Source organism: Homo sapiens, chromosome 10 (assembly GCF_000001405.40).
Source record: "Homo sapiens chromosome 10, GRCh38.p14 Primary Assembly".
In the NCBI taxonomy this organism is placed as follows: Eukaryota; Metazoa; Chordata; class Mammalia; order Primates; family Hominidae; genus Homo; species Homo sapiens.
The window spans coordinates 29,991,483-30,005,051 of record NC_000010.11 but is presented as its reverse complement, the minus strand read 5'-3'; the positions used below and the strand labels follow the sequence as shown (position 1 = coordinate 30,005,051).

The 13,569-nt window shown below is 47.3% G+C and overlaps 1 long non-coding RNA gene across 1 annotated transcript, besides 1 other annotated feature; it reads left to right on the top strand.

Moving 5' to 3' along the window:
- Nucleotides 1-3,979: 3,979 nt before the first annotated feature.
- Nucleotides 3,980-12,564, top strand: LOC107984218 (uncharacterized). The gene is made up of 2 exons (XR_001747403.2): nucleotides 3,980-4,092; nucleotides 11,788-12,564. It is a non-coding gene; the product is annotated as an uncharacterized LOC107984218 (long non-coding RNA).
- Nucleotides 6,648-6,836: a silencer, noted in NCBI's record as "fragment chr10:30287145-30287333 (GRCh37/hg19 assembly coordinates)". NCBI's record gives its function as "represses an EF-1alpha promoter that drives an FKBP-Casp9 reporter gene in an ReSE screen in phorbol 12-myristate 13-acetate-treated (for megakaryocytic differentiation) K562 erythroleukemia cells {active_cell/tissue: K562(+PMA)}" and the evidence as "EXISTENCE:reporter gene assay evidence [ECO:0000049][PMID:32094911]".
- Nucleotides 12,565-13,569: the final 1,005 nt, after the last annotated feature.

Sequence of the window (13,569 nt, the reverse complement as noted above, 5' to 3'; positions counted from 1 at the left end):
GATTGTTTATAACACAAAGGATAAATGTGGGCCAGGCGAGGTGGCTCATATCTGTAATCTAAGCACTTTGGGAGGCCACAGTGGGTGGTTCACTTGAGGTCAGGAGTTCGAGACCAGCCTGGCCAACACCGTGAATCCCCTCTCTACTAAAAATACAACAACAACAAAATAGCCAGGCATGGTGGCTCATGCCTGTAGTCCCAGCTACTTGGGAGGCTGATGCACGAGAATCTCTTGAACCTGGGAGGTGGAGATTGCAGTGAGATCACACCACTGCATTCCAGCCTGGGCAACAGAGCAAGATTCCACCTCAAAAAAAAAAAAAAAAAAAAGATAAATGCTGAGGTGATGGATACTTCCTTTATCCTGATGTGATTATTACACATTATATGCCTGTATCAAAATGTCTCATATACTCCATAAGTATATATAACTACTATGTACTCAAAAAATTAAAAAGTTAAAAAATTTTTACAGTAAAAAAATAAATAAATAAGGTTGAACTTTATAATCACCTAGCATATTGCAAAAATTATGGTGTGCCAATTCTGAATCTAGATCATAAAATACACTATGGCTTCCAACCTGTGCTCTTAGGGAAGCCAACTGCCATGTTGTAAAGGCGCTCCAGCACTCCCGTGGGGAGACCCACATCGTGAGGAATTAAGGCCTCCAGCCAACAGCCAACAGCCAACACCAGTTTGCCAGCCCTGTGAATGATCCCCCATGGACATGGATCTTCAAGCCCAAGTGGAGCCTCCACAGCCACTGACATTTTGAATGCAACCTCCTGAGAGACCTCCAAACCCTCAAGTTCAGCTACTCCTCTGTGCTGGCCCATGGAAACAACATGAAACAGTAATTGTTTATTATTCTTTTAAACTGCTGAGTGTGGGCCGGGCACTGTGGCTCACGCCTGTAATGCGGCATTTTGGGAGGCTGAGGGGGGCAATCACTTGAGCTCAGGACTTCAAGACCAGCCTGGGCAACACTGCAAAACCCTGTGTCTACTAAAAACATAAAAATTAGCCAGGTATGGTAGTATGCACCTGTAATCCCAGCTACTTGGGAAGCTGAGGTGGGAGGATGGTTTGAGCCCAGGAGGCAGAGGTTGCAGTGAGCTGAGATGGTGCCACTGCACTGCACTCCAGCCTAGGTGACAGAGCCAGGCTCTGTCTCAAAAAAAAAAAAAAAAAAAAAAGAGAGAAAGAAAAACCTAAAAGAAAACCTGCTGAGTGTAGAAGCAATTTGTTTTGCAGAAATAGAAAACTTATTAGGAGGTTTGACTTTGAACCTGAGAAGGTTAGAAAACAAAAGAAAAACTTGTAATTGCTACAGAGAAAAGAAGAAATATGAAGAATGGGGCTTGGAGCATTGATTTTGGTGGCCTCATAATTTTGCCATAGAGCCTGTCTTCTTTGTCTTCAACTATGGAAGGACAAATAGAAGCCATTGGAAGAGTTATTTCTGCCTGTGGGAAACGCCACATGCATGAACTTAGACGGCGCACTATGCTTGAATTATGCCAATCTTGTGCTGCACGATTTATACCAAAAATTTTATATGGCTATCTTTATTACAAAGGTAAGATCTGTTACTTTTAGGAGATTTCCTGCAGAGTTATAACTGTACCCATATTATATCTGGTTCAAATCCATCCCACATATATAAGGCTGTACCATGAAGATAAATAAGCTAAACCCAGCAGAAAATGTATTGCATTTACAATAGATCATCTTTATTAAGTTTGAGTGCTTCCAGTGAATGATGCCTACAAAGGGTTTCATTTTTCTCTTCATCTCGAGAAGTTTGAAGTTACAGAACCATTGCATAGACCCTGGAATCATATATTATACAATAGAGAGAAGATGCCTTCTGGTGAAAATAAAACGTGGTTATCAAAGGGCAGGTCTCTTTGATATGCCTCGCTCATGGCCGATCTAGGAATCTCGGGGTGGCAGGGAGGCACCCACTTCACAGACTGAGCTCTGCAATCAGGTGAATCACTTTTGATGTAATTTTGGTTTCTAAAGGAATAGTGACATGGGAGAGAACAGAAAATATACTTGAGGTTTGTGAAATCCAAGTTGAAAATCCTGTCAAGTATCAATACTTATCACTAGCCATTGAAATAAATGGCTTCAGAGGTGACAGATCATAATAATTGGTGTACAGAAGTCACTTTCAGAGGAAAAAGCTCCTTGTAGAGTGAAGCCTGCTGAAAGTGGCCGGCTGACCCAGGCAGCACAAAACTTCTCGGGACATTTTCATGTGGGGTCCCTTGCCCTTTGTGTAGGAGAGGCCACTCAGTGGGAAGTGGCCCATTCTCCAGAGTGGGAAATGCCGGACTCTGTTCTGCTCCCCATGGGAAGGCGAGGGGCTGACCTCTTGTGCAAGCTGAGCAGAGGTAGCCGCCTGCTGGCATTTCAACGCTAGAGGGCAGCGTACGTGCATGCCAACGGAGGACAGGTTCACTGAGCCCCACATCCAGGCGGGTTGTGCTAATTGCTTGCTGTTTTTCCTACAAGCAGAACCTGCAGACCTGTCTACCTAAAGATCTAGTTGGAAGTACTTTGCTGCGACAGGCTGGCAGAAAAGAGAGGCTTTCAGGGGCTCTGCTCTCTGGACCCCAACTTTATTTCTAAAAATGTGAAGATAACTCACAAGTCCTTTGTTGGAAGCATATCTGGGCCTCAGAGCCAGATAAGATCTGCAATGAGTTGGAGCTTTGTCACTTACCATGCGATGCAGGCATGTCACCCATAGAAAGGGTTGTTGTGAGGATTAAATAAGATGATGTGTGGGAAGGGCTTGGCATAGCACAGTGCCTGGAACTTGCTAAGTGTTCAGTGAGTGTCGATCAGCAGTCATACTGTGCACCAGGAAAGAGGTCCAAGCCAAGCTGGAGCCCCTTAGGAGACAGTGTAGGAACTGGGGCTCCTACATGTCCCACTCCCACGGGAGCTCAGTGAGAGCCCCTCCAGGGCCAGAGACCCTTGCTGACACTTGTTGAACAACAGGGAGACCTCAAGCCACAGGCCACAGAACCTTTGAGCCTGTCCTTCTTCCTGGCACAAAAAGAACGGGTATGAACCCTCTTCTGCAAAGCAGAAGAGCAGCAACATCCATGCAGGTGTGAGGGTCAGTGACTTCCCACTCCCATACGCCTGAGTCCTGCTCACCACTCTGCAGGTCACGGGGTCTCGATTGCTTCCGAGTGCCCGCAAACTCCCTTGTAACCCCCCAACACCCATGTTGGCATGCTGGAGCAGACCGTGGGAGAATTTTGATAACCCAAAACAAAGCCTGGTTATTTAACACACGCATCGCCTGCTTTCAAATGAGCTCAGCCTTGGAAACTGCAGAAGTTTCTAATGGTGCTGACTTCTCACTGTTGATGGCCTGTCACAATTTGTAGATTCTAGTGGGAATGAGTGAGGCTTGAGGGGCATTAAAGATGATCTTGCCAGTGGTGTAGTAGAAATAGCAGAGGGCCTAGAGCCTAGATTTCTCAGTGCTAGACATGGTGATTCACCAAATAGCTGGGTGGCTTTGGACACGTGCTGAACCTCTCATGCCTGACTCTCTTTCCACATAAGCATCATGATAGGGTTATTTTTACCCCTTCCCACCTCACAGGGCAATTGTTAGGGTAAATGAGGTTAAAGTACTTTACACATGCATAGCACTTGCACTTTCTCAATAGTGCTTGGTGGGGAGAAAATTCTCCACGGGTCTTTTGCCTGGAAAGGCAGAAGCCTGTTTTGCCAAGAGAGACACGGACCGCTTTTGTTCCGGACTAGCTTTCCAAGGGTGTTTGTGCAGAGAGCAGCCTGGGAAGATACAGTCAGTGTCTCTGTCTCCAGAGGAAAGGGCAGGTTTGTTTACTGCCCAGTAGAATAAAGATAATGTCTCTCTCAGGGACAAAGGTCAGGCAGGCTTCCTACTCATACTAAAAATAAGTGACTTTCCTAAACTCAGGTTCCTGCCTGGTGTGACCGTCTCACCCGGCCTCTTCACATCGCGCTCTGGGTATTGGAGTCTACGGATCCCACACAAGAAAATGCCGAGACTCTGGCTACTGCTGTTGCAGTGAGTAATAAATTCCCTTGGCTCTGACCCAGGAGTCTTGTGTCTTCTATCCCCATTCATGAAACTGGCAGGCCCACTTGTAACCTGACAAATGGGGTAAAAACCTCAGCCCTGTCACAGTCCTTGACAATTTTCAGCTGCTGTTTTCTTTCCGTTTTTACAACAACTCTGAGAGCCAGGCACATCAGGTATTCCTATTTTGCAGATGAAGTAACAGAGGGTTGGGAAGGTTAGGGATGCTTCCAAGGACAGCTAATACCATGGAACAGTAGACGCTTAGATCTAGAAAATAAATGCTACATAACTAGAGACACTAGTGTCTCCAAACTTCTCTTCCCCAACCTGGATGGGGTAACTAGGAGTTACTTTGCTCATTAGTGTTTTTTTTTTGTTTTTTTTTTTTTACCATTAATCTGCAGCTCCCTACAGAGAGAAAGTGATGTCAATGGGATTTTGCACAATTATCCTCTTGTCCTGGGGTCCCAAAGTACATAGGGCTTTCCCTCAGCCCTTAGTCCTGCATAGATTTTCCCCAGAAAGGCGGTGGCTGCTGGAGCTGAAGCAGCCACACACCTGGGCACCTGTGTGTGGAGGCAGCTGGTGGCCTCCAGACATCCCCCTCGGGAAAGCTGTCAGCCCATGCCAATCAGCAGCTCCTGCCAACCAAAAGGACTGCAGGCAAGGAGCCCTGAGGGTCCTTTTCCCAGGCCTGTGAGTGGAAGGTGACAAAGAGGAGCAGAGAGAGGGAGGGCAGAGGCTGAGCTCCGTGTTCCACCCAGAGAGGAAAGGGCCACTGCTCCCAAGATCACAGCTTCCTCACCGACAAAGGAACTGGCTCTGCCAGACCTGGAGGGACAGTGACAAGAGGAGGGGCCCTTCTGGGGCTTGGCATCTGCTGGGGGCAGGAGGACAAAGTGATGGAGCTTCTCTGAGGGATGTCAGCAAAGGTTGTGGGACCTACAGGGTCCAGCAACCAAGAGATGCAGAACAGCACGACTGTCTCTTCTGTTTATCCCTCTGTTTTATGTTGTGGTTTGGATTTTTTGTTGTTGTTGTTGAGACAGAGTCTCACTCTGTTGCCCAGGCTGGAGTGCAGTGGTGTGATCTTGGCACACTGCAACCTCTGTCTCGTGGGCTCAAGTGATCCTCCTAATTTCAGACTCCAAACTGTGTGTGTGTGTGTGTGTGTGTGTGTGTGTGTGTGTGTGATGTGATGTGAAGGAAGGAGGTGCACACTGGAAAAGGGAAAGCAAATGGGCTAGGCTGACATTTGGTATTTGGGTGACAGCCTCAGGCTCTCAGACAGACTAGAATTAATATAGTAGGGCCCGAGCACTGCATTTGTTTGTTGTTTTGGGCACAAGAAATTTTTTCATAGCCACTCCCCCGCCACCCAGGTGATTCTAACACCCTGCAAGGCCTGAAAACTCTAGTTGGATGGCTGTTCAATACTGCAAGCCCCGGCCACAGGTGGCAATTGAGCGCAGGGAGTGCAGGCGGTCCGAATTGAGACATGCTGTGAACGTAGAATACACCCAGACTTCGTACAGAAAGTGAATGTAAATTAGCTCAATCTTTTTATATTACACAGTGAATATATGTATTACTATTTTGTTTTGTTTTGTTTTGTTTTTTTGAGATGGAGTCTTGCCCTGTTGCCCAGGCTGGAGTGCAGTAGAGCAATCTCTGTTCACTGCAACCTCTGCCTCCCAGGTTCAAGCGATTCTTCTCCCTCAGCCTCCCTAGTAGCTGGAACTACAGATGCCCGCCACCATGCCTGGCTATTTTTTTTTTTTTGGTATGTTTAGTAGATTTGTATTTTTAGTAGAGATGGGGTTTCACCATGTTGGCCAGGCTGGTCTCGAACTCCCGACCTCAGGTGATTCGTCCGCCTCGGCCTCCCAAAGTGCTGGGATTACAGGCATGAGACACCTCGCCTGGCCCTATATATTACTATTTTTGATATACTGGGTTAAATAAAACATACGAGTAAAATTAATTTCACCTGCTTCCTTCTCCCGTTTTTAATGGCGTGATTAAAGAATTTAGTTTGGATCGCATGTGCAGCTCACACCGTATTTCTGCGAGACAGTGCTGCTGTAGCAGCCACTTCATGTTACAGTAAAGGGGCAGAAACTAAGTGGCAGAGCTAGATCCAAGGCAGCGACTCTCCTACCCAAGCCCAGCCTCGGAGCCAGGTGGCCACGTGGTGGTTCTCGGTTGCAACCCCTTACTCCCACGCCATCTTCCACCTCTCGAGTTTTTGAAGGAAGCTTAGTCTTGAAGGAAGAGACATTTCCGTTTTTATCATGGCTGGAAGCACCTAGCAAAATGACTGGCACATAGTAGGCACTGGATGTAGATTGTAAAGTTGATGAATCTTTGACACTTGTTGCCTCCTGAGGGAGCTCGCCTGTCCTGCAAAGCCTTTGCAATGCTGTCCCCTGCTGGCTGGTTATTGGAAGTGCTCAGTGAGGTCCCTAAGAAGCCGGCTTGGGTGTATGCTGAGTACACATGTACTGTGTTGCTTGTGTTGCATGTGTGTACGGTGTATATGCATGTGTTGTGTGTGTTGTGTGAGCTTGCACTGAGTGCACATGTGCTGTGTGTCCTGTGTGTTGCATGTGTGTGTGAAGCATATGCATGTGCTATGTGGGTTGTGTGAACTTGTGTTGTGTGCACATGTATGGTATGTCCTGTGTGGTGTGTATATACATGTGTTGAGTGAACACGTATTGTGAATTTTGTGTATTGCACGTGTGTGTGGTGTGCATGCATGTGTCATGTGTGTTGTAAGCTTGCATTGAGTGCACATTGAGTGTTGTGTGTGCTACATGTGTGTTGTGTATACAGGAGTTGTGTGAACTTGAATTATGTGCACATGCACTGTGAATTTTGTGTGTTGCATGTGTGTGTTGTGTATGCAGGTGTTGTGTGAGCGTGTGTGGAGTGTACATATTCTGGGTGTCACGTGTGTTGGATGTATGTATACTATGTGTGCTGCACGTGGGAGGAATCATGCATGTACACAACAGTTGCACTTCCATTACCACACCAAAGGCAACAGTGTCCCTTAGCTTAACTCTTTCTCCCATCCTGGGAGTCGTGGATGCGCACCCTAAACATCCTTAGGCAGCTGCGAGAAGAGCCCCGTTTACAAGTCAGGATCCCCAAACCTCATGAGGGTCTTGTTGCAGCGTTACAAATTTATTCTTCAATACAAGATTACTCTTGTACTAGTTCTCCACAGGCCTCAAGACGTCTCAAGCCAGAAATTCTAGTTCAAGCCTGTCTTTGAGATTCAGACGTTCCAGGCTCTGCACTAGACAGCTTGATTTCAGGCCCTGGGGTGATATTTTCTCGAGGAAGGCGGCAGTGAGTGATCAAGGGTAGCCACGGGAGAGTAGAATTCTCCAACGTGGAGGGAGCCCTTGTCTTGTGCCCGACAAGAAAAAAAAAAATGAGACATGAATATCTGATGGCTGAGCTTCCTGGAGAGCCCAAAAACATGTGGAACAAATGTTCATGCATTGGAAACACATGTCAATCACTGGCTGAATGTTCCTTACTCTCCCGCATCTGAGCACGACACATGGAGAATGCAGGTGGGGTCCCAGATACTCAGATGGCTTTCCTTCCCTCACTTTGTAAGAGTCAAATAAAATCACAGTATCTGTTGACACCACACAACCTATGAATCCACTTTTAAAAACATTATTTTTTTTCCTCCAAGAGACAATTACGTTGTGGTTTCTGGACAAGAGAATCTACTGACCTGTCTGCACATAATCTTCAGCAAGTCATCTCATTTTCTGAGACTGTTTCCTTATCCATAAAACGTCCCCCTTTTCTCAGTGGGGTAACTGGAAGATCACTTGAGATCCCACATGTCAGTGGGTCTTAGTCCTGGAGGCACATTCAGAAAGACTGCTGTTTGTGTTCCTCCAGACCAATGAAATCAGAATTTCTTGGTGTTTGGATTAGGCCACGGTGATTTGATAAAACTCTACCATGCAGCCACATCTGCTAACCGCAAAAGCCCCCCTAAGAACAGAGAACCACGGCAAACTCTACAGGCATGAGAAATTCTGCATATCATTTGCGCGTGGTAACCAGACACTCTCCCCAGATAGAGGATCCAGGGGTGTTCTGGCTGTGCCAGGCTTCCTGTGGTTAATCCACCCTTTCCCCACACCCTGGGCTTGTGACAAGTGTCAGACGACCAGCAGAGCTCCCATGCAGCTGTCCTTTTGGGTACTTCCAACAGCAGATGACTGGGGAGTCGGGCTGGCTTTGTGTACATGTCAAATAGGCTGCCTGGCATCTTACTTCACCTGAGTTCAGGGAATCTTGGTGGTGGGTTGAACTGGGATCAGATTTCCCCATAGGAAAAACAAGTATCAGGGGCAGGGCATGCAGCCCTCGGTTACCCCTCCCTCACCCCCCCTCACCTCTGACCTGTCCTCTGTCCCCTCCCAGTCTCTTTCCTTTGGTTAGCCCTTCCTGAGGTTGTCTAGGAGGTGGGAAAGGAAGGGGCTCATTTTTGTTCCCTTCCTAGTCCTGTCCAGGCACCGGTCCCAGGACTCTGCTCAAGAACCTGGACCAAAAACCAAGGGCAAGAGGAGGCTCTCTTGTTCCTTTTCAATTAGCTTGTTTTTTTTTTTGAAGGAGTTTCACTCTGCCGCCCAGGCTGGAGTGCAGTGGTGCAATCTCGGCTCGCTGCAGCCTCTACCTCCTGAGTTCAAGTGATTCTCCTGCCTTACCCTCCTAAGTAGCTGGGACTGCAGTCACCTGCCACCATGCCCAGCTAATTTTGTGTGTTTTTAATAGAGACAGGGTTTCACCATGTTGACCAGGCTGGTCTCAAACACCTGACTTCAGATGATCCACCCTCCTTGGCCTCCCAAACTTTTTTTTTTTTTTTTGAGGCAGAGTCTCACTGTCACCCAGGCTGGACTGCAGTGACACAATCTTATCTCACTGCAACCTCTGCTTCCCAGGCTCAAGTGATTCTCCTGCCTCAGCCTCCTGAGTAGCTAGGATTACAGGCGCACACCACCACACCCAGCTACTCTGTATTTTTAGTAGCGATGAAGTTTCGCTGCATCAGCCAGGCTGGTCTTGAACTCCTAACCTCAGGTGATCTGTCTGCCTTGGCCCCCCAAAGTGCTGGGATTATAGGCCTGAGCCACCTTACCTGACCACTTTTGTTCTTTTTCTACTATTTTCCATGAGCCTTTTGGTTATGCAGTTAGCTTTGCCCCCAGGCTGGGAGGATAATTCCTCCAGCACAGAAATTCTTCAGGGAAGTAGGAAAATGTTGGTCTGCCCATTGTTGACAACCCCCAAAAGCCATAAGGTGATTTTGGCCACATCCCAGCATAGCAAGGGAGGCCCCTGAGGACCTACCAAAAATTCGGGCCATCCCCCATCTGCTTTCAAGCAACCCCTATCCTGAGATGGCTTAACTGACTCTCCCTCAGGAGTGTGTTTTGGGAGTGACAGAATGCCTGTCTTTAAACAGTCTTTGGCCCAAAATCCAGGGACATGCAGGGAGTTCGAGGAGATCAAATACAATCTAGAGAGACTGTGAAAAATGGATTAGTCCTTTGCTGAAGGGTGTTTTACTTTAGGATTCGAACTTGAATTTCTTGTTCGGTAGACATTGCTTTCCTCCTCTGGCCTGTTTTCCCCTACTTCCCGAGTACTTGACCACACAGGTAAAGTCTACCCTCCCCAGCCTTCCATGTGACTGGGTGTGGCCATATAACCAAGTTCTTTTCAGAGAGACAGATGCCACTTCTGCCTCACTTGCTCAAGAGGAATTTGCTGTCCCAGACGCTCTCTCTTTTTCCCTTCAATGACATCTCACGACCTGGCCCCAGCTTTGCAGCCAAAGGCAACACCCTAGGAGATGATGAAATCACAAGACAGACACCTGGGTCCTTGCCAGTGAGGGTCAATGCTCTGATTTATTTAGCAGAAACAGTCCTCCAATGTGGAGACCATTACATGAGAGAGAAATAAACATCTATCTTCCTTCAGGCACCATGTGTTTGGTCTCTTGGCTATAGCAGCTGACCCTTTATCTCGAGGCATTCATTGTCCACATGAGTTTCAGGGATCATAACCTCTATGCCACGCTTCCACTCTTAGCACAATTGTCAACACCTCCCTTCTCAAGAACAGCAATTTGCCTGCCTCTATTTTCCAAATACTTTGAAATCCATCAGTCTTTCTTATGATCCCAGGAGTGGCCAAAGATTATTATGATGGAGAGCGCCCTACTTACAAATCAGGCTCTATAGTTAGAGGATAAGATGAAAGTCATACAGAGTCAAAGAGATCCTTGAAAAATGCTCCAGGGGGAGGGTGCAGTGGCTCACGCCTGTAATCCCAGCACTTAGGGAGGTCCAGGTGGGAGGTTCACTTAAGGCCAGGAGTTGGAGACCAGCCTGGGCAATGTAGCCAGACCCCATCTCTACAAAAAAAAAAAAAAAGTGTTCTGGAAGTCTCCATGTAAGATCATCTCTCAATAAGCCCAACATGGGGTAGCTTTTTCTTCACCCCAGGGTGTCTGGATTACATCCACAAGCTGCGCAGTAGAAGAAATATCTCTGAAACATGTTCAGTATGGCAAGATGCTCACAACATGTCAAAGCCTTGAGTTTCAAGACAGACAGAACAGAGAGCAGATTCTCATGCTCAGCTCACCCGGGGCAGTGGTTCTCAACCAGAGGTGATTTTGCCCCCAAGGGGGACCTGTAGCAATGTCTGGAGACATTTTTATTATGACTGGTGTAGAAGGCTCCTGGCATCTGGTGGGTAGAGGCAGAGATGCCGCAAAATATCCTCCAATGCACGGGACAGCCACCATAAAACAAAGAATGATCTGGCCCAAAATGTCAAGAACTCTGAGGCTGAAAAACCTTTCTCTAAGGCATAGGTTTATTGAGAGGCATGGCCTAGCAGATCGTCATGTGTAAACACTCCAGAATTCTCCCCAACCCTTTCCCTGACTTGTCCATGTTTATTTTCATTTGAGCAAGTTAAATATGCTCCCCTCGTTGCTCTTTGAGCCTGACAGGATGAGGATGACAAGATCATGGATCCTTGGCAATGTCTTGAGTGTCCTAGAGACCAAAGATATCCTATCCAGGCTGGTTCAGGGAGTTTCATCAATCACAGTTCACCGTGCTGGATCTTGTCTAATTTGTTGCTTTCTAAATAGTAGCCTCCCACTCTCCTGTGGAAAGAATGTTCTGCTGATGTGAGGCTTTCCTTGTCAGGGACACCTCCCGCCACAGCCAGTCTCAAAGCTTCTCTCCTTTGTTTCATCCTGGAATGTTTCAAGAAACACCCACCCCACGCCAGCCGCACACATCTCATAGTTGCTCTCCCAGGGTGTCTTCTGCTCTCGTGATCCCCCTCCAGCCTTGCCTCGTAAATCAGCCCGCGACCTCGCCTCCCTGGGGCTGCTGCGCTTCTCTGAACTCGCTCCAGTGGGTCCACATCTTTCTGATAATGAGGTGCCAGACAGGAGCGGAGGGGCCTGCTGCGATCCGTGGGAGCGTTCAAGCCCTGTCCTGGGGAGCGCTGGGGGTGGAGCCCGGTGTCATGGTAGGGAGGGGGCCCTCTGGAAGCTTCAGTGCCTGAAGGGCTCACATAAGGCACCTCACTTCTTTATTCTTGCAGAGGCCCTTGATGGTGGACAGACCCCAGCACGGCCCTGGACAGATTGTGAGGCACAGAGAAGTCACCTGCCACCTCCCCACCGTCAGAACAATGATGGCAGACACCACCAGGTCCTGAGGCTCTCCTGGCCTTTGGGCACTGTTCCTGCTGCCTTACAGACATGATCTCATTGAACACTCATGAACACTCACAACATCATAAGCCTCACTCGGGCATCTATGCTAGACACTGAGGGGACAGCAGAGAGCCAAGAAGACAAAAACCTTGGCTGTCAGAGAAAGAGGTTGCGTTCTAGTGGGGGAAATAGACAAAATAAGGAACACACATGGTACAGTTGTGTGTCACTTAACAGTGGGGATATGTTATGAGAAATGTGAAGGCAATTTCATCATCGTGTGAACATCATAATGTTATAGGAGTTAATAAGAAATTATTTTAGGCAGATAGGGAAAGCGGTCCTTGGAAAGTTTTTGTTTCTTTTAAAGCAGCTAAAGAAAAGTTTCTTATCTAGCAGGAAAGCTCCGGCTCTTAGAGCTAGGCCGGCAACCTCTGATATGCAAATAAATGCTGGCCATTAGAAAATGGGTCCACCCAAACATGGCGATTCTCACCCTCTTCCTTGCCCTCACATGTGCCTGGCAACATGGCGGCACCCCCATATCCCCATGTGTGTAGAATATCATGGCGCCCTGCATTTGCAAAAAAAAAAAAAAAGTGTATATATAACTTCTGTTAATCAAAAGTCGCAACTAAGAAAATAAAAATGCAAGCCACAAAGTGGGAGAAGTTACTTGCAATACATTTCCTAACAAAGGATTCGTATCTAAAATATATAAAGAATTCCTACAAATTAATAAGGAAAGGGTAGATGACCGCAAAGAAACATTACAAAGTCTTGAATAAACACAGAAGACAATATCCAAATGGCCAATAACATAGGAAAAAGTATTCGACTCCATCACTCATCAAGGAAATGCAAATTAAAACCACAATGAGGCCTGGCGCGGTGGCTCATGCCTGCAATCCCAGCACTTTGAGAGGCTGAGGCAGGCGGATCACGAGGTCAGGAGATTGAGACCATCCCGGCTAACATGGTGAAACCCCGTCTCTACTAAAAAAATACAAAAAGTTAGCTGGGGGTGGTGGCACACGCCTGTAGTCCCAGCTACTCAGGAGGCTGAGGCAGGAGAATCGCTTGAACCTGGGAGGCATAGGTTGCCGTGAGCTGAGATCACGCCACTGCACTCCAGCCTGAGCAACAGAGTGAGACTCCATCTCAAAAAAAAAAAAACAAACAAAACCAAAACAAAAACAAAAAACCCCAAAAAACACCACAATGAGGTGTCTGTAGACACACATCAAAATGTTTCAAAATTATTAAAATATTGACCGCATAAAGCGTTAGTGCGATGGTTAATTTTAGGTGTCATCTAAACTGTGCCACAGAGTGCCTCATTAAATCATATTTCTGGATGTGGCTGCGAGGGTGTTTCTGGATGAGATTAGCATTTGAAGGAGTGGACTCAGTGAGGCAGGTTTTCCTCCCCAGTGTGGATGGGTACCATCCAATCCGTTGAGGGGCTGAATGGAACAAAAAAAGCAGCGAAGAGTGAATTTGCCAAATTTTGCTTCCAGCCTTCCTGTTTGAGCTGGGACATCAGTCCTCTGCTGCCCTTGGACTGGGATTCACATCGTTGGCTCTGGCCTTTGGACTTGGACTTAGACTGGAATCACAGCACTGGTTTTCCTGGGTCTCCAGCTTGCAGATGGCAGATCACAGGA